General features: G+C 32.3%; 1 protein-coding gene across 3 annotated transcripts in view, besides 1 other annotated feature; it reads right to left on the reverse strand.

Annotated features, from left to right (window-relative positions):
• SEMA3A (semaphorin 3A) overlaps positions 1–21,192 on the reverse strand; it is a 536,949-nt gene that overhangs the window by 125,955 nt on the left and 389,802 nt on the right. The window lies entirely within an intron of this gene.
• Positions 9,436–9,936: an enhancer, noted in NCBI's record as "H3K27ac hESC enhancer chr7:83720483-83720983 (GRCh37/hg19 assembly coordinates)". NCBI's record gives its function as "activates a minimal SCP1, AML or CMV promoter by ChIP-STARR-seq in naive H9 embryonic stem cells {active_cell/tissue: H9 hESC(naive)}" and the evidence as "EXISTENCE:reporter gene assay evidence [ECO:0000049][PMID:30033119]".

A 21,192-nucleotide genomic window follows, 5' to 3' on the forward strand; every position in this document is an offset into this window, starting at 1 on the left:
ACATTACTTTGGACTACTTATTACATCCATATATGCATATGTACATACAAGTGTATAAATAAATTCTATATATATTTTATCTCATATATTTTAAGTAACATAAATATGCATATGACTTAATGTTACATGTTATATTTATAATCTCTTACCTATGCTCTTTTGTTTACAAATATTTAAACATCTAGATACACACAAAACTACAATGTATATTTTTGAAGAATAAAGAAACATTTAATTATCAGATTAACTAAAAGTTTCCCTGTTTTAATTTTAATTTCTGCTCTCCTCCTTACTTTTATTTTTATTTTTTATAACACTACAGGGAACAAGGTTAAGGGTGGTTTGCCCCAAAGTGGTAGAAGAAAAGGACTTAAAAATGAATTTTACCTTTGAGTACCTTCTCTGTCTGACTCATGGTTTTGCTTTAATGTCATTCTCTTCTAAGTTGTATCATCCTAGTGATATTGACATGTCCTTGAGTACACAGAAGCAAGAGGTATATGATTTTGAAAGAGAACATATTACATGTGTTTCATTCATTTCCAATTGTAAGCTATTTATCTGAGCTATGTTCTAGCTACAGAGCTACACGGCAAGAATGAGCAGCAGGAAGTGGGAAGTGGAAAGTCGAAAGAACTTAATTTGCTATTAACAGGTCATAAGAAAGGAGTACAAAAGAAAATGAAAAAGGCATTTGATACATTGTGAAGTCGTAACTCCTGAGAAGTTAAGGTAACTTCTAATATTATAATCATAACTCCAGAAATTCTTTATTACTAAATAAAACAAAAGCTACTTGGTAAAGAAATATATTTTAAGTCATCTTTATTTATGATCATGTATAAAGACACTATTCCTTACTTTAAAAAGAAAAGGTTATATTTTGTTAAACTTGAAATAATTTAGTCCCAAGGTCCTTTTAAAGGGTTGATTAAGAAAAACTTAGGAGCATGTTGAATATGGAATATCTACAAGCAAAGTCAAAGATGCTATTAGCTTTTGAGTTCAAATAATTTCTATAAATTACTGCTATTATTCAAACTCAAAAAAAGTAGAAAAACTACATTTTGGCTTTGGCAAAATTAAAATATTGCAGATGTCATCATCTCAGAGCCATCATATACACCTAAAAATGCACATATTCAAATCTTGTCTCCTTTTTACAGGGTCACTTAAATAATGTATGATGGGATGATATTCTTACCTGTATTATAATAATTATAATAAAAATAGAAGTTTCATTCTTTAAATTTTATGTCAGAATTTGAGTCATTGGACATTTGTCTTCACAGTAATATATAACAACATTTTAAAACCTTAGATTGTCAAAATGTAAACCAGGCCCAAATTTGATTGAAAACCAAATTAATTAATTTTTTTTGGTAAATAAACCAATGTATGATAAGATTTCCTATCTTTAAATTTATATTAAAGGGCATTAAATGATGGGCATCTGTTATGAGATGGTTTATTTGTACATATATATATACACACACACGTATTTGTACTTTACTATATACTGTTATTATATCAAATACTAATTTGAAACCATATTTCTTTTTTATTTTTTTCTTTTTAATTATTATGGATACATAATAGTTGTACACATTGTGGGGTAAATGTGATGTTTTGATGCAAGTACACAATGTGTAATGATAAATCAGGGTAATTGGGATATCTATCACCTTAGGCATTCATCATTTTTTTTGTGTGTGTGTTAGGAACACTCCAATTCTACCCTATCAGTTGTTTTGAAATACACAATAAATTACTGTTAACTAAAGTCCTCCTATTGCTCTATCAATCACTAAATCTTCTTCCTTTTATTTAATTGTCTTTTTGTTCCCATTAACCATTCCCTCTTCATATCTACCTCCCGACTATTCTTCCTAGCCTCTGGTAACCATCACCAGATTTCTTTTAAAATTTGCTATATAATTGTATATCAATTCAAATAATACCAAAATAATGACTGACTCAGATAAGTAATAACCATGACTTTTAAGTAATAAAGACTTTTTATCTTAACATTTTATATAATCCATCCAAATATATAAAAACACTAAAGTTCAGAGAAGTTAAGTGACTATTCAATATCAAGATTCAAAGTTTTCAAATCTTTCCCATTAAATAATTTGGCTCTTTCCGTGATAACCTCTGTGGGTTACTGTTATATTTATTATAAGCTCATAGTTAACGATATAAAAGGCATGATTCCATTCACAATAACAGCTAAATCTCAAGTGTCACTACTAATTATATTATGTTTCTTTTTGCTGACCTGTTTCAAGTCCAAATTTCTGCTTGGCTGGGCATCACTGATCATACAAGCAGTGGCCAAAAGTAGGTCTAAAAGCACTAATCATTTCAATGCAATTTCAGCTGGCCATATGTGTTTAATGCCTTTTGATTTTTGAGTTTAATATGGAAGAACCATTTATAATTTTTCTACAGTTCTCTATTCCTTTCAAGTTGCTAAGAATTATTTATTTACTTATTTTCCTAATAATGCTTTCAAAAAGCTGATTATAAAGGCCAATGACTACCTGGCTATTGTTTTTACTTAGTCTTTGAAATTATTTTGAATGGTCAAATAGTTATAACAAAAAATCATATTTATATTTTGTTTGAAAATAATTACGAAATATAGCAGGGGTGATAAAAATTACACAGTAGGAAAAATATGTCTAACTAGTGAATTGTAATTCTATTCAAGGAGTATTACAAATTTACATTCAGAAACATCTGAAAATATAAAGGAGACCTATCAGTTTGTTCGACAGACTGTAAATTGAGAATAAATGAAAAAAAAATAGGTAAAATCATTTACAATGTAATCTGGTCACTCCAATGTTCCATAACATAAATCATAAAATAATTCCTATTCTATTTTGTTTAGAATGCCTAATGGCTAATTTGAACTTGCAAGTATTTGGGGGAAAAATGAATATAGTATATTAAATGTTAGCAAAATAAATGTGGTTGTTCTATGTGACATAAAAAGTTCTTTTAAAAAACGCAAAGCACTTTTTTATAGAGCTTCTTATTTTGTGGTTTTAAAAAATCAGCATTCCTGGAATTTGACCTTAATTTCCCATCATTTAAATGTATGTTCCCTGATATGATATGTATTGGAAAGCTAGCTCTTGTTTATTTGAAGACACTGAAATATTGCTGATTCCAAGATAGTATGTGTAGGGAAAAATGGAAAACTTAGCTTTACAGTTGATTACTAAAGAGCCACAACAATACCTATTTGCCTAAAATATCCTGTTGCTTAAGTCAAAATCTCTGACCTTGAACAAAATAAGGTAGGGATCTAATCACAATGGTAAGAGAATTTTTTTTTTCTTTATACATACATTTAGAAAGGGATCTCTTTCAAATAAAGAGGATATCTATGTAAAGTAATACCTACCAAAGTGGATTTCTCAAGGAATGTTAAGCATAAGGGTCAAACATGAACATGTGTCAATATTAGTGAGGGTGGATGCTTCATTTGGAATGAGATTTTTTTTTCTAACTGCATCAATGGACTGCATTGAAGTTTAGGAGGAGCAAAGGGAGGATGAGTGGGGGTGTCATAGGAAATGAGAACATAGATGTAGGAGGATATCATATTACACAGGGATTTGAAACTGACCATAAAATCGTAGACACTATTCTGGGAGAAAAAAAAAAGTAAACTAGTGGGCTGGATGAGGGCAATGAGTGAACACATATGGAAGTGAAAAACTGTAGTAAGACCAGGAGAAGAGAAATAATGATAGGAACTGAACTGAGGAATATCCTGAATCATACACTAAAGCTATAAACTGTAGCACAACTGTAAATTTTAAAATGTTTATTTTTTTGCAAATAAAAATGTCTGTTAACATTTAACAGGGAAAATGATTAGAAACATGGAATTAATTTGTTGAACTATTTATATAATAAAATTAATTTCCTCTAAAACACCCTTTATTTTATCCTAATTTTTTGATATCTTTCTTAACCTTTTAAAGTAAATGAAGCCAGCATTCTCCTCTAAACTTTTCTATCTTCCTTTTCCTTTTAAAAATAAATGAAGCAAAATGGAAAAGATGCATATGCATGGGTTGTCAGAAAGAAAAGTCTTGTTGTTAGTCAGAAGCTCTGACATACCCTCTTTTCTGGAAGACGGATGTACAACTGAACCTTAAATATATTGTCAACCCAGACTGTTTGGCTCCCACAATTTTCTTTTTGCCATTGTTGGACACATTGTAAGAGTTTCGGCTTCCAAAGATATGTAGCCACACAGAATCAGGGAAGGGGCCAGAATAATGCTATTTTTTCTGCTCTTCTACCCCTGTTGCTATTATAACTTCTCTACGAGTGCTCTGTGTGATAAAGTCACAGAGCCAGAGCATATATGTCAAAGGCAGAAAGCCTGCTGCTGATGTGGCTACTACAATCACTACTACTGCTGTCAACCTTTGCCAGCACTCTCCCTGGTACATGCATTAAACCACAGCAGCACAAATTGAGAACACAAGAAGATGCTGGGTCCTGTGCTCGTTCCTACAACAGTCTCTAGAATTAGCATACCTGGCTTTGAGTCCAGAATCTGCTGCTCTGTAGTTGTGTAATCATGACCTTAATCTCCTTAAGGCTGTTTGTTCCTATGCGATGATAACATATACACTCTTTGCTATTATTATTTTTAATATTTCATATTATATTTATATTTTATATATTATTATATTCATATATAATATGTATTATTATATTATATTTACATATAATATATTATTATATTATATTTATATATAATATATTATTATATTATATTTACATATAATATATTATTATATTATATTTACATATAATATATTATTATATTATATTTATAATCCTCACAATTCTCACAAAAATAAAGAAAATAACTTGTGCTCCAGAGGGCACAACTCATATATATGTATATATATGGAATATATGTATATATATGGAACATCATATATATGTATACATATATATGTGTGTATATATATATTTTTTTCCACACTCACCTTTCAAGTATTGGCTGTGATTACATCAGCTAGGTTTTTGCCCAGCTTTCTGATAGACTTCTTTGGTGCTCTATCCTTCTTTACCCAATTACTTCATCACATACTCCACTAAACTTTATAATGCATGCTTTCATCATGTTAAGTAGCTACTCAGTAATTCTCACAGCTCTCTCTTTTCATATACATGATTTTCTTTCAAGAGTCTTCATAATTTGGCTTAATCCCAGTCATCAAATTTGTCTTTCTACTATTTTGTAATATTCGAAATGATTTGTAAAGAACATTCTCTTTATTATGCAACAAAGATGGTACATTTGCTATTAATTCTATGTCTTTTTTGTTGTATTATTCCTAATGAAAATATTTACGTTGTTGCATCCATTTATACAAATTCCAGGCCATTATCAGTAGCTTATCATAGTTACTGTAGTAAGAGGTTAGTACTCATAAGGATCTGAGTTCAAATCATGGCTCTGTGATTCATTAGAAGTGTGATTTTGTGTTATTTAACATTTTAATTCTCATTTTTCTCATCTATAAAATGCAAAAAGTCCCATCTGCCTGTTTAGAATGTTACAGGAATTACACAAAATAACTTAATTGGCATAGTGTGTAGACATGGAGTCATTCATTTCTACAGCATTTGTTGTGATCCTACTTCATGCCAGGGGCTAGTGTTCTACAGCTGGATAAGACAGATCCACCATTAGTCCTCTGGTGCTTACAGTATTGTAGGGAAGATCGGCATTAAACATAAACTTTCACAATATTCATGTAATTTTAATGAATATTCCTACAAGGATACTATCATATGAAAATATATGATGCTGATTGAACTTGGGGACTGGAAATGAAATAGAGATGGCTTCCCTAGAGGACATCTAAGTAGAGATGTAGGGGAGTAAACAGAAGTTATGCCAAAATGTGTTTTGGTGTAACTCAATGTGCAGTAGTTGATTATTGTTATATTGGCATTGTTGTTACTACTACCTTCTTGAATCCTTTTCTGAACACTTCATTCCCATGAACTTCTGTTCTCTGAAAACCTATTGCACAGCATTTTATTCTTTTACTATTGTTGGCCTTCCTCTATGTTTTTGCATTTTGTTTTACTCTTATTCCACTTTGCCTTGCAGTTTTCTTCTCATTTGCTGAAATGATCCTATTCTTGTTTTGACTCTTTTTGGAACTAGCTCAAATACTCTTAGGCATAATTAAATATCCCTGTTTTAGGGATCTTGTAGCACTTTGTAAGTAACTGTATTATACCAGTCATTGCTCTATGTTACATTTATTTTTCCCCCAAATATGTAGTTCTGAGGGCGGGAAACATGTTAAATTTATCTTTTCATTATAAATCCACATGCTGTCATCACAAAATAGAACAAAAAAGTGTTTATTGAAAGTATGCTTGCCAGGCGCAGTGGCTCATGCCTATAATCCCAGCACTTTGGGAGGCCGAGGCGGGTGGATCACAAGGTCGGGAGATCGAGACCATCCTGGCTAACACGGTGAAACCCCGTCTCTACTAAAAATACAAAAATTAGCTGGGCATGGTGGCGGGTGCCTGTAGTCCCAACTACTCAGGAAGCTGAGGCAGGAGAATCGCTTGAACCCGAGAGGCAGAGGTTGCAGTGAGCCAAGATCGCACCACTGCACTCCAGCCTGGGCTACACAGGGAGACTCCGTTTCCAAAAAAAAAAAGAAAGTATGCTTGACAACTATGCTAGTTTTATGTCTCTAAGTAAATTCTAAAAGTTACTTAAGGGGAAGATTCCTGTCTTAATTCAATTTTATTTATCATTATCATAATATTGTAAAAATGGTATGTGTGTGTCTATATGCTGGTTGATTGGGAATACATTTTTGACATCTATTTAAATATGATAGAATCATTAATTAACATTTGACAATAAAATTTGACATATTCAGAAAACAATATGAAATGCATGATTCTATTTATTTTTCCACCTTCCTGCCTAACATTAAAACTACAAGAATATGAAATAGTAGTTGGAGAATTTAAAAATGCATAGGGTGCAATTTGATCTAGTTGATGTTTAAGTTACTTGCAGCCATGATTAATACATGAAAGTATTCCTTTGTGAGTGAGAAGCCTCCCTTGTTGCTCAGAATGTTCTTTCATGTTAATGTTTTTTTTTCAGGATTTTAAACAGTGAGGGAGGGGGTTTTATTTGTTCAAAAAAGCAAAGTTATTTTCTTAACTTTTCAGAGCTTACAGTAAGAGTAAAAAAAAAAAGGCATTGAAGTAATAATTCTCCTAAGACACAATAATGAGTCAATTTAGAGCTGTTAGGAAGAAGAATGCCATTTGGTGAAAACGTATATGTAAACACTCATCTTGAGCACCACTTTGCAGCATATTGTCAGAGGAGTAGTGCAAAATACTTCCCTTTAAAGAAGAATAGAAATCTCAAAATCTCACTTAGTTTAGTCATAACCGTTCTGTTTAGTAGTCTGTTTGCAGGAGAATATATGCTGTTGTATACGCACATATAATGCAACTAGTATAACTGGTACTAATTTTGCCATTTTCAAAATGAATGAAGTCCTATGCAAATGCAAATATGTCAACAAGAGTAAGAATTTTCAACTACACAGGTAACAATCTACAAAATTTGTCAATTATTACCATATGAATAAATACCATATGGTAAATGTTATTTCATAGATAAAAAACAAGGAGTGTTAAAATTATTGATTTTAATGTAATTATGGGTTTGGAGTCAACCATATAAGTCTGTAGCCTTCAGTCATTTGACTGAAATCATACACATCTAAATTACATAAACTTATGCTATAATTGCAAATTGTCTAAACATCTAATAAAAAATATAGTCATTCCTTCAAAGCAATTATTAGTATTTGGATAGTAAATCATTATAGGGCTTCTTTTATAAATTGATTGCTTTTTATAATTATACAATTCTAAAGGATTTTTATTTATATACACATTTGGTAAATATATGTATACAGATATACAACTTATAGACATGTACTGTGTATCACTTTATATACCTAGATTTATTATTAACTGAAAAGGAGCCTTTTGTACTATCAGACTAAATTTTAAAGGTTATGAACTGTGCTAAAGATGCAATATTGATTTGTAAACTTGATACATTTAATAACTATATAGAGACTAAAGTAGGACATTTATAAAATTCATTCTTAGAAAAATATATTTTAAAATACTATTATTATATGATGGATGATTTGAAGTTAGATCTATTTTGTTATAGAAAATAAATTTGAAAAATTATGCTCATGAAAATTTTAAAGATTTTGAAGTTTAATCCCATATATTCTCTGAGTAACAAAATAAGACAAAATATTATACAAGATAGTTTTCATTTTTTATGTTGCAGTGGAGGAGTAATTTTATGCAGTCCCCAGATTTAAAGTTTGATTTGGAAAGAAGTTGGTAAGAACTTTTAAGTAAAACTATGTGGGTTTAGGTACTAGGTAAGTGAGTTTTAATATTACATAGGAAAAATCAGCATGTGTATTTAATAAAAAGATGATAAATTTTCATTCAGAGAACTAATGACTGCTAGATACACTCCCTCCTTTCTGTTTCTAAAACTTCTTTATGTATTGATCCTAAAATAATGGACAGGCAATACAATGTTTGCAGACGATTTGTCTAAAACTGTGCAAGAATAGCCTACTACATGGGAATAGCATGTTCTCTCTGCAAGGAGGAAAGAGTCAACCTAAATGCAAAAAAAACAAAACACAAGACCCACGTTGAACAAATAATGCAAACAAGCATTAAAGCTTATGTGTGGAAGAAATGAAAATAAATAAAAGGGGAACCAAATGTATGCTTTTAACTAAGCAATTTTCTTTCTTTAAAAAACAAGAATATTATTTAATATTGATAATTTTAAAGTCATAATGATGTTGACACTGGTATCTATATTTATTTATTGAAATTAATAAATATTATCAAATATGTAAAATATTCCAGATACTACACTGTAGAAAATTGTGTAGGTTGGCCGGGCGTGGTGGCTCACGCCTGTAATCCTAGCACTTTGAGAGGCCGAGGCAGGTGGATCTCTTGAGGCCAGGGGTTCAAGACCAGCCTAGCCAACATGGTGAAATTCCATCTCTGCTAAAAATACAAAAATTAGCTGGGCGTGGTGGCTCATGCTTGTAATCCCAACTACTCAGGAGGCTGAGGCCAGAGAATCACTTGAACCCGGGAGACAGAGTTTGCAGTGAGCTGAGATCACGAGATCATGCCATTGCACTGTAGCCTGGGGAACAGAGTGAGACTCCAACTCAAAATGAAAGAAAGAAGGAAAGAAAGAGAAAGAAAGAAAGAAAGAAAAAGAAAGAAAGAAAGAAGGAAGGAAGGAAGGAAGGAAGGAAGGAAGGAAAGAAAGAAAGAAAGAAAGAAAGAAAGAAAGAAAGAAAGAAAGAAAAGAAAAGAAAGAAAAGAAAGAAGGAAGGAAGGAAAGAACGAAGGAAAGAGAAAAAGAAAGAAAAGAAAGAAAGAAAGAAAAAGAAAAAGAAAGGAAGGAAGGAAGGAAGAGAGAGAGAGAAAGAGGAGGGAAGGAAGGAAGAAAGGAAGAAAGGAAGGAAGGAAGGAAATTGTGTAGGTTAATATAAAGAATATTCTTTTACACAAAATATTTTATATTTCACATCTAACATAAAGAGTAAATGCCAAACTAAAATAGCACACACCTTATCAGGGCATGCTGGGTTAAGAATGTGGGTGGAGATTTAGAATGATAAATATTTACTGTCACAACCAGAAGCTATTCAGCCGAGTGCTTTACTAGGTTATCTACATTTGATCACAGTATTCCTTTGAGGTAAAACAATATAATTAAACTTCAGTCTAACACTGTGGATAATCCAAAGTGGTTTCTAAAAATTCAGTCAGGGTTAGAGAAAACTGTTTTAATTTGGCTCCAATTTTTAGAGACTATCTTCATGCTTTTCTCAAGATGAATATCCAGAAACTTAATGATGTATTAATAACCGTGAGTGAAGAGTTTAAATAGAGCCAGTTTGATGATAATGTTCTTTTTCTAACCTGCAAAGCACAGAATTCTGAGATGCTTTATTTAGAATCTAAATCAGTAAGTTATGAACAAATGAAATTCCATAATATTAAAATGTTATATTTTTTCCTAACAGATATGCAGGTTGTATTTTTATATAAGTCTACACACTACACTAAATTCTGAATTCTAGGCAGAGTACCCTAAGAATACTCTATCAGTATCAGAGTATCAGAATACTCTTGAGTATTAATGAATTAATGTTATACATGTGCCAAATGAATACGTGCTGTTCACATATATTTTTTAAAAGGCATTTTTTTAAATGCTCCCTCTAAATCTTCTCAACCTTTGAAATACCTGATTGTTAAGCAGGTTGTGTCATCTCCTGCCAATTGAAATCTTGATGGAGGAAGATACAAAGCAATTTTTTTACCCAAATAAAATTTACCATTATCCTCAGAGAGCTTTAATTTGAAACTCAAACAGTGGAGCATAGTTTTCTTGTAGTGCCACTTTCAGTGATTATCTTTTGAATGTCCGTGTGTACATACGAATGCCTTTGTTTCTACTTGTCTCCTTTGCACTCTCACTTTAAAACTCCCACTTCCTTCCTGTGCGGGGAAGAAAACTGCCGCTGAACATCACAACACTTTTCATATTTATTGCTTCCTGTGTGTCAGTTTCCAGGAATAAAATGTAAACTTTAACATAAACATGCTACTTTTTTTCAATGTGATAAATGAGTGAAAAGATCTCCACAAAATTTTTGTGTCATACCTAATTCAGAATATCGAAGTTTGCAGACAAAGAATTTCTATTCTATTTTAAGCAAAGGGCATGAAATAAAAGTTAACAGATACTATTATCTAGCAAATTCCAGTATTAGCCAGATTGGTTTTACCAAAATAGATCTTGAGGTATATTTCTTATTTCCTCCTTCCCTCCATGCCTCCTTCTTCCCTCCTTTAATTGTGGATGTGCATAACCTCCAACTATTTCTTTGCTAACTTACTACATAAGGACTGTAACAGAAAATAACTTTTACTTGCACTTCTGTGTAAATGTTATTATGAAGATTCATTTAAATTTATTTTCTGTTAGGTCATATGTATACAAGGGATAAGACAATTGTGTAATACCAACCAAAAAAAAATCAAATGTGTTAAAATTACAGGATAATATTTGTTAATCAATATAGATTATTCCTGACATATATTTGATATATGTCAAATATAGAAAATGACTCGTATTGAAATATGGAGATACTACGTTTTATTTTTGAGAGACTCCTTTGGTGTTATTTAAGAATTCAAACTGGCTGGGGACATTTATTTCATGTTCTAATTCTAATTTGCACCATGTAACTTTTTGCACAAGATAAACACAAAAATAACTAACACTTGAGAGATGAACAAATGGTCTTCAACAGTTCAGAGTGTTTATGTGATGTGACTCCTACATGCAGATATATATCCTACTTCAGACAAAGTCTCTAAGTACCATTACAGCACTTACCACAATATGTGTATTTATTTACTCATCTGACTTTTTGCTGTGTTGCCATGAGAACATACATAATGGTAGACTACAATACAAGTCAGTGGAACTTGTTCTGAAGAAGTAATGCATGAATTGAGATCAGAAGGATGAGATGGATTTATTAAAGCAAATATCCAAGAGAAGATCTATCAACGCAACAAAAGCAATAAATGCAATGTCCTAGGAGAAGAGAGATGAGGAATGAAAAGGAACTGAAAGAACAAGACATACAATGTAGTATATATATACATTATAAAATACTATGCAGCCATAAAAAGGAATGAGGTCATGTTCTTTGCAGGGACATGACTGGAGCTGAAAGCCATAATCCTCAGCAAACTAACACAGGAACAGAAAACCAGACACTGCATGTTCTCATTTATAAGTGGGAGTTGAACAATGAGAATACATGGACGCAGGGAGGGGAACAACACCCATTTGTGCCTCTGGGGAGTTGGAAGGAGAGCATCAGGAAAAATAGCGAAGGCATGCTGGGCTTAATACTTAGGTGATAAGTGCAGCAAACCACCATGGCACATGTTTACCATGTAACAAACCTGCACATGCATCCTAGAACTTAAAAAAAAAAAAAAAGAAAGGATGCCAAGGTGGGAGGCACCAGGAACCAAAGGCCAATTTCTACAATTGCTAGGAAAAAAGGTAGGCAAAGGAATGTCTGTACACAAAGGCTACCAGGCTACCATTTGCCTTTTTTGAAGTTTGTTCTGGCTTTGATGTGGAAGTCTGACTGGATAGGGTAAGTCAGGCCAGAGAGGGGAGAGGTGGAGAGAGTGGGATGTCAATTAAGATTGTTATTTCACGAAAAGGAACCATATGCCTTGGTGACGTTTACACTTCTGGTCTGCTGCCCAGGAGAAAAGTCCACTTAGTTCATTACATACAGGCACCATCTTTGAGGCAAACGTCCTTCTTTCTATATTTTTAAATTACTTTCTCCCTACATCTAAGATCTTAAGTTTTTGCCTTTTTTTTTTTCCCATGTTATACTTGCACTGATCTTAAACAGGCTCTGCTTTCCTGAACTTAAAGTACGTATATTTTCAATAGCGTTCTTTTTATGTTATTATTTTAAAGAAATTAAGGCCAATTCAAGGTTAAGGCTCCGCTGGCATTATTATATCTACTTGTATTCTAGAGCATTCATATGCATATAACGATGGGTGTTCTTATGAAAGAATGTCACATATGTGCATGTCATCTGCTAGATATAAGATTGGGAACTGCAGCTATGGCATTCAAAATCTTAGAAAATACTATGTTACGTGATAGTGGAATCTATGTTTCTAACATCATAATATGACACCGATTCTAAAATAAAAAAAACCCACCACCGCTAACAACTAAAACACACTTTGCAACACAAAAACTCACAAACCTGAAAGTACATCAAATTTATTAATTGCCCGTTGAAATATTTTTGCTTTGAGTATTTGCTGTAGTTGAGAGATGGACAATGCCCAGGTAAATACATCTGTATATAGAACTGATCCACTTCAAAGCAATCACCTTTCCCACAGCAGACATTTGTTTCCTTAAGTGGAAAACTGATAGAAGTCTACATTTACAGATATATATCCAAGCAGTCTAACATTAATTATATTGTTTATATAACACCTTCATAGTTTTGTCTAAGATATTGTCACCCACCATGAGTAAACATACACACTTACACACACACACACACAAAATATATACTGTATATAGGTAATTTATTTATAATTTATATAAATAAATATACTGTGGATCTCTCTATATATTGCATTATATATATTGCATATTATATATTGTATATATATTGCACATATCTCTCTATATATTGCTATATATAGCATTATATGTATAAAATGCAATTATATATTACATTATATATAAATATATGTTTATATATTATTATATACCATTATTATGTAGCATATATATGGCATTATATGTATATAATGCATTTATATATGGCATTATATATATTATATATATTTTATATTTTTTATATACATATATATATATATATATATATATATATATTCCCATTGAAAACATTTGTAGGAAACTCCCTTCTGGATTTTCACCTACTTTAAACATAAATATAACTGAATTTATTTCAATATTTTTTTCTATGTCAGACTTTATCTCTTTGGACTAGTAAGGTCTGAGGCTATAAATAACTTGGCTTATGCATTTTATCTTTTTTTTTTCATGCCCTATGTCTTATGTCAACTAGTCTCCATTCTGTTCACTAAACCTTTATTCTAACAGATGTTGCTTTTTTTTTTCCTTTCCTCTTTCATGTTATCCAGGGGAGATCAAAGCATTTAGTCATTCTTGTCCACTGAATGCAGAGGTGTGAGTGTGAAATTTTGCATGATTCCTGTGTTCAGGTTGCTTCTCTAATGTTTCCAATTACTTTATTTGATAATATTTGATATGTGTTGACTGCTTCAACTGATAGAAATCATCTTAAATCCAACTACTTTTATGAGAATAAAAGTTCCTAAAGTATTGAAACAATATTCAAATTTTGTCTACTTTGATGAGGCAGTTGATTCATTTTCAATAAGTAATACTATTTTTATAAAAGATATCATAAACATTTCCCCTGAAATTACATAATATAGTTTATAATCAGACAATTTATGCATGAAGAGGTCAAAGCCAACTATATTTTAACAATAATTATTGAATGTTACTAATAAGCATTCAATTTAATTTTTGAATACAAAACGTTATAAACATCTTGAGGTACATGGAAAATTGTGGCTTTCATTCCCTTTTAAACATTTGGCAGTGAGAGTGAAGGCAATGTAACATAATGGAAAAGACTCTGAATTAGCTGTCAAGAGAATTGAGCTTAACTTCAGCTCTTACCACTAAGTAGCCAAGAGATTTAAAGATACTTTTTAACTAATTCGAGTTTAAATTTTCTATATTATAAAGTGAAGGATAGGAACTAGAGAAGCTGTACAGTAACTGAAAGCTATAGTATTTTATAAACTTATTTTTTAGCAAGAATTTTATGGAAATTTTGGCCACAGCTTTTCTTTGGACATGTGTTTTTCTCAAAGTAAAATACCATATATTGTTGAGCTTTGTGTTCAGTATAGCATTAAGCATAAGTAGTTATGAGTATACAAAAATTTCCAAATGAATTTTTTTGCACTAAAATATTCCAGATGAAAATTATTTTCTTGGAAGCATTAGTTGAAAATAACTTCATTTTTGTCTTAGGATATTATTAAATTTTTTAGACTTCTCTAAATACAAGGTGGAAAAGTGAATAGGATGAAATTTTTTGTCATTTATGTGTCAAACACATCATTTCATCTTGTCTTTTCATTTCACCTCAAGTTGATTTTAATTCACAGACAGGAAATTGCTGATTGCCTCTGATGCACCTTATAAAGCAGGTACACAAGTCACTTCTATTTTTCTGGATTTTCATATGATAAAAATTGAGATATTTTGCTTACCAGTCACATACATTTTTCCCATTCTGTTAGATAAATTATTATACATTTCTAGAAAATAAAATATGTTTACATATGTCTAAGATACTGTGCAATTTTAACATGAATTTTAAAATGTTTCCATATTGCAGTTAGAAAAGTATGATCTGGTGTCAAGGTAGTACCTAGGAATGCTATCTAGCATGACAAGAATACGGATTCTTAAGGGCAAAGGTTACAATTGTCCCCAAGATTGAGGCCAGCAAAGGGCAAGTAAATGTGGGACGCCAAGCATCCATCTGTTCCAGGTGAAGCAATTTAAATATGAGGTAAGACAGTTATTAAATGCCAACAAAAGATAAATCAGAAGAAGCCACATTTGCCAGGAGAAAAGCACTTAAAAGGATCTTGAACCCTGGCACGTATACAAAACCGCATTTGCAACACAAGAAAAATACAGACTTTTAAGCCTCTGTATAAAGTTTTGTGCTAATCTCAAGTGAGGTAACTGATTGAAACAGAAAGTAGTCTAATATTTATTAATCAGTAATCTATGTTCTTTAGTGTACATGCATAGTGAATAGATAAGTATTTTTTAATCACAACAAAAATACAGGGGTATAAAAATGCTGGTTTAAGAGACTGGTTTAATGTCATTTCAGTGGCAGCAAAAGGCATACAATGAATCAGTGGCAGACTTGCGAATTGATTTTAGATCCCATTAGACTCGCTTTTTAACTGCTCAGCAGTTCCTGGGATTGCTTTCAGGGACCAAAGATACACAATGGATAAAATGGCAGACTGGAAAATAAAGATAAAATAAAAATGGAAAGTAGTCAATGGATATGGTTTGATTTCTGATAATTTGAAATAATACTCTTTTTCACCTATAAATGTATAAATCTTAAAGCTGTATTTGGGTAGTATTACCAAATATTCTATCATTTTTACAGAAGTAGATTTTAAATTACTAAAGAATAATAGCAAAATATGCAAGGATAAAAATAATTGCATTCAATGAAAGTTGAATACCTATGGCATTCGATTTTTTAAAGCAATGATTAAAGGATGACCCTTCACAAAAAGATATATTTCTCCAAATACATTTGTTCCTGCTGGAATTTCCAAAGATTCATAAGTACAAAATTAGAGTAAAATGCAGCCTTTGGAAAAAAAATGTAATATTTCAACATTCTTACAGCTAGGGATAGCTTGAAAAGGCCCATTTACATTAGAAATAATAGAATAAAGAGTATGACCATCTTCTGATATTTAATAATAATTTATGCTATATAAAATTAAGTATTTGCTGATTCTTAGAGTATAATTGGTTGATAATATACTGGTATTCATACTTTTCTGTGTATTTAAAATATTACATGATCATAATATTAGGAAAAAGTAAAAAGACATGCTTCATTGCTAAACTTACTTTGAATGAGAGTTGGAAAACATTTATTTTTATTTTTATTTTAAGTAATCTATTTCAAAATATTTGTATTAGTGCTACAAATCCTAACTTTTTCCTTTTGGTAAAAAATATAGTTATATTTTTCTTTGATTGTAAAACATGTTACTGCTCTTCTTCTTGTCCAGGTAGAAGTAAGGTAGGTGGGTTTTATTTATCTTTGCTCAATCCCTAGAATTTCTACAGAGAGAATTAGTAGTAACAGAATAACTGTTTTGTGGGGTATTCTAGCACTAGTTTTATTAAAACACAACTCCCAGTTTATGTTATTACTATAATCTTTTAAAGGACTCTGTGAGTTTGCCACTGCCAAGGAATTTTACCAAGGTGACATACACTATTTCAGCATGAAGAATTTAATGCTACTTTCAAGAAGGTTCTTGATAATGCAAATTGTAATGGATTTAACTTGAAATTCAAAGTTTTGAGTGTTTAGAACTAAGTATTAATAAGCACATCATATAGCATAATCTCAATGGGGTATAATATTGATGCCATTAGAAAGGCCATTTGTTATGATGGGCATGAGGACAGATGATATACTGGCTGTGTGATGTTATGTAACATGTTGAACTTCCCTGAGCCTTAGTTTCCTCAATTGAGAAACAGAGATAATGCTTCTTTCACAGAATTATTAAAATCAAATTATATAATTTTGATAAAGCTATCAACCATGCCAACAATAATAGCCTCTAATAGTAATAAAAGTAATAACAACAATCGTGGACAATAGTTATAGCAGAAGATAAATTGGATAGAATAACCAGAGATTAATCAGGAATTACATTTTCTTTTTTTTTCTTTTTTTTTTTTTGAGACGGAGTCTCGCTCTGTCGCCCAGGCTGGAGTGCAGTGGCGCGATCTCGGCTCACTGCAAGCTCCGCCTCCCGGGTTCACGCCATTCTCCTGCCTCAGCCTCCCGAGTAGCTGGGACTACAGGCGCCCGCTACCACGCCCGGCTAATTTTTTGTATTTTTAGTAGAGACGGTGTTTCACCGTGTTAGCCAGGATGGTCTCGATCTCCTGACCTCGTGATCCGCCCGCCTCGGCCTCCCAAAGTGCTGGGATTACAGGCGTGAGCCACCGCGCCCGGCCTTGAATTTTTTTTAAAAGAAAAGTGCATTTGAATTACTTTCACATATACATTCCCCAAAATAGCATTTTCTTTATTTACGAGTAATGGAGAAACTCTCCTTTGTGATATGCTATCAATGCAAAACTCACATAACTTTGCCTATAGTAGCTTAATGTTTTATGCACAACATAAATGCAGCTTAACGCAGCTGATTTGTAAGCTCAGGAGTTAAAATTAAATGTGCATGAACCACAATATGCTATAAAACAAGTTTGACTAATTCACAAAAGAATCATAAACGCTTTTTTTAATGAGGAGTTTAAACAGTGTCATCACCTCAGTTATATTTCATCTAATGGCTTATGAGATCTGGCTATTATTTAGATATCTTGATGTTTTCATTTGAGAATTGTAATTTTACGCAGCATCTTTCACTCAGTATCAGAATAGGGTCTTATGATGTCACTACTGAACTTTTGCTATAGCCTCAAAAGAGGATGTTATGTATATGTCTATTAATTTTTCTCTCATATTTATGCCAGAAATATGTTTCAAAGTGAATCATGGCAATAGTGGTTTTGTCTGTCTGAAAACTTGCATGGTTCTTGACTAGCTTGCCTAAACTAAATTTGATCTTAACTTTCTCGTCTCCTTTTTTTGAAAAGCAGTAAACTCTATGCACACTGGGCTATTTGCCATTTCCCTGTTGGACTATAATCATTTATGTTTTTCTCCTTCCATTCACTGTTTCCATAGCCTGTCTGTCTTCCAAATCTATCAATATCTCATCCATTTCCAAATTCCAGTTAGAATAAGATGGCCTTTGTTTACCTCATTGAGTGTTCCCTTATTTACACTCATCACTTTGTACAAACGAGGTGTGCACTAAGTATTTCTGAAGTGTAAATCCAGGAGAAAAAAATCACTCCGACATAGTCCTCTAAACCAGAACTAATCATTTTACTTTTCTTCTCCTATTGTATGGTGCTGGAATGTCCTTTTAAAGGTGCAGGTTCTGGATTCAGACATGAACTACTGAATAGCATCTTTGCCTCAGGTCTATTACAAAACAATCATGAAAAACCTTACTTTTCTCATTAGTAAAATGAAGATACTGAGAGTAGCTACCTCATCAGATTTTGTGATAATTAAGTAAAGTAATACTTTTAAAGTACAGGATATATATTCACCGTTCAATCAATATTAGTTATTGGGAGTATGATTTGTATTATTGCAGATGTCTTTACCAACACCGAAGTTAGATTTTTGTTTCTATGTGAGCCCTTTGAGGGATGATATTTGTGTTCATATTCCTTACAATCAATATTAGAAAATTAAGAAAAAATGTTCCTAGGTTTTTATTAAAGCCATTCTTATCACTACTGAATCATTCATGTGAATACAAATTGCTTCCAAGGTCATCTGGGCATTGTTAATTGCAGTTGAGCAGTATTGTAGCCTCAAATCTGAAGAAACATAGATATGAATGTTAAGCCTCCATTATTTTCTAGTACTCTCTCAGATATATCTAATAAAACCTTTATTGCAGAAGGTTTGCTCATGACGCTTTTCTTTTTCACCTCAGTGCTGTTCTCATTACCTCATGCTGATTCTCATCCATGTCCCTGCTATTTCTACTTCCCCATCTCTCATCCTGTAGGAGAATCATGGTGCAATGCTGAGACTGAACACAAGGATACAGCTGACTAATCAGACTGCTTCCCCATGGAACCCTATGATGTCATTTTTTTTTCTTTACACTGCAATTGCATTTGTATCAGTACAAACACATCTTAGCAATTTAGATTATGATATATCTTCTGGCTTGTTATAATTGCATGTGTATGCTTTTACAGCAAGACTGTTAGATCCATAAGGTTAGGTCCTTTCCATATAAAAAGCTTTCATGAAATGTCATGGATAACAAGAGGGGGTTCCATAACTTTGGATGCAAACAAAGCTATGACATCATTATCCTCCTTTTCACTATTCCAGAGTAATAGTTATTTATTTTATCTTCTCTTGGAAATAAGGACTCTTTCTACATATTTGTATATTGGTGAATGTCAACTGACATTATGCAAAATTTGAAGTTTTCACCATAAAATGATCTGAAAATTTACCGTTATGTTAAAACCACTGTGCAACTATAACACAATGGTTTTCTCCCCCCACTCTCTTGAAGTTCAATTGTGCAACATGTCAGGTTTGCTGGGTTATACTCCAGTTAGTTCTAACTGCTAGATTTCATTCAGTTTTGGTGACAATGATGTTTTTAAGGGGGTAAATGTAAAACAGTTTAAATAATATTATCATAAGCAACAATATTGGATTTCAACTATCAGATATTAATTTTTACACAAATGCTCATATAGGTATGATGATCACTTGTCATTCTGCATTCTATCTTTGCTTTACTTTGTAGGACTGAGCTGTCCTATACGGGAGCTACTAGTCAAATGAAACTATTGAACATGTGAAATGAGACTAGTCTAAATTTAGTTGAGCTCTAAGTCTCATAAAAACTCTAAATTTCAAAGGCAGTACAAAAAATAATGTCAATGTTATTAATAATTTTATATTGATTACATATTTAAATAATATTTTGGATATATTTAGTTAAAATAAATATATTAAAAATAATTTCACCTGTGGTTATTTTTATTCCTTTTAATATAGCTACTAGAAAAACTAAATTACATATGCAGCTAGCATTATACTGCCTTTGAACAGAGGTGTTCTAGAAAACCCTAACTTTGATAGACTCTAATGGAAATTACAAAAATGAAGTTTTAAACAAGGGTGCTAGTCTAAGCCCTATCACCAATCAACTGTGTGAATTTGTGTTAGTGATATCAACTCATATGACTTATTTCAAGATGCTAATTTAGGATAAAAGTGTGACTATTAAAGTGTGCTTTTCTACTTATCTGCCTTAAGAGAGTTTCTTGACTTATTTTTTACAAATCATGGTAATGTTTCTATTGTGAAATATGAGTTTTAGTCATTTTTTAAACCACAAGCTATCTGGCTTTGGCTGTGGAAGACAATGATCTACAAGTACTAACTGGATGAGACATTAATCCAGTAAGGAAAAGAGCAGTATTAAAGCTATGCAGACCAAATGTGCTAAGCCTGGAGCAGCAGAGAGCCATTGGGACCCATAGACCAGGGCTATAAAATTAGGGCAAGGAGAGTATCCTCTGGTGTGAATACAGAGAAGGAGATTGCATTATCGCTTTTTTTTTTTTTTTTTTTTTTTAACAGAGTCTCACTCTTGTTGCCCAGTGGTGTGATCTTAGCTCACTGCAACCTCGGCCTCCCGGGTTCAAGCAATTCTCCTGCCTCAGCCACCAGAGTAGCTGGGATTACAGATGCCCGCCACCACACCTGGCTATTTTTTGTATTTTTAGTAGAGATGGGATTTCACCATGTTGGCCAGGCTGGTCTCGAACTCCTGACCTCAAATGATCCGCCCACCTCAGCCTCCCAAAGTGCTGGGATTACAGGCGTTGAGTCACTGTGCCCGGCCTTTTACACTATCTTTTTAAAAACACTTGTAAGGTGTCTTCTA

Source organism: Homo sapiens, chromosome 7, assembly GCF_000001405.40.
Source record: "Homo sapiens chromosome 7, GRCh38.p14 Primary Assembly".
Classification (NCBI taxonomy): domain Eukaryota; kingdom Metazoa; phylum Chordata; class Mammalia; order Primates; family Hominidae; genus Homo; species Homo sapiens.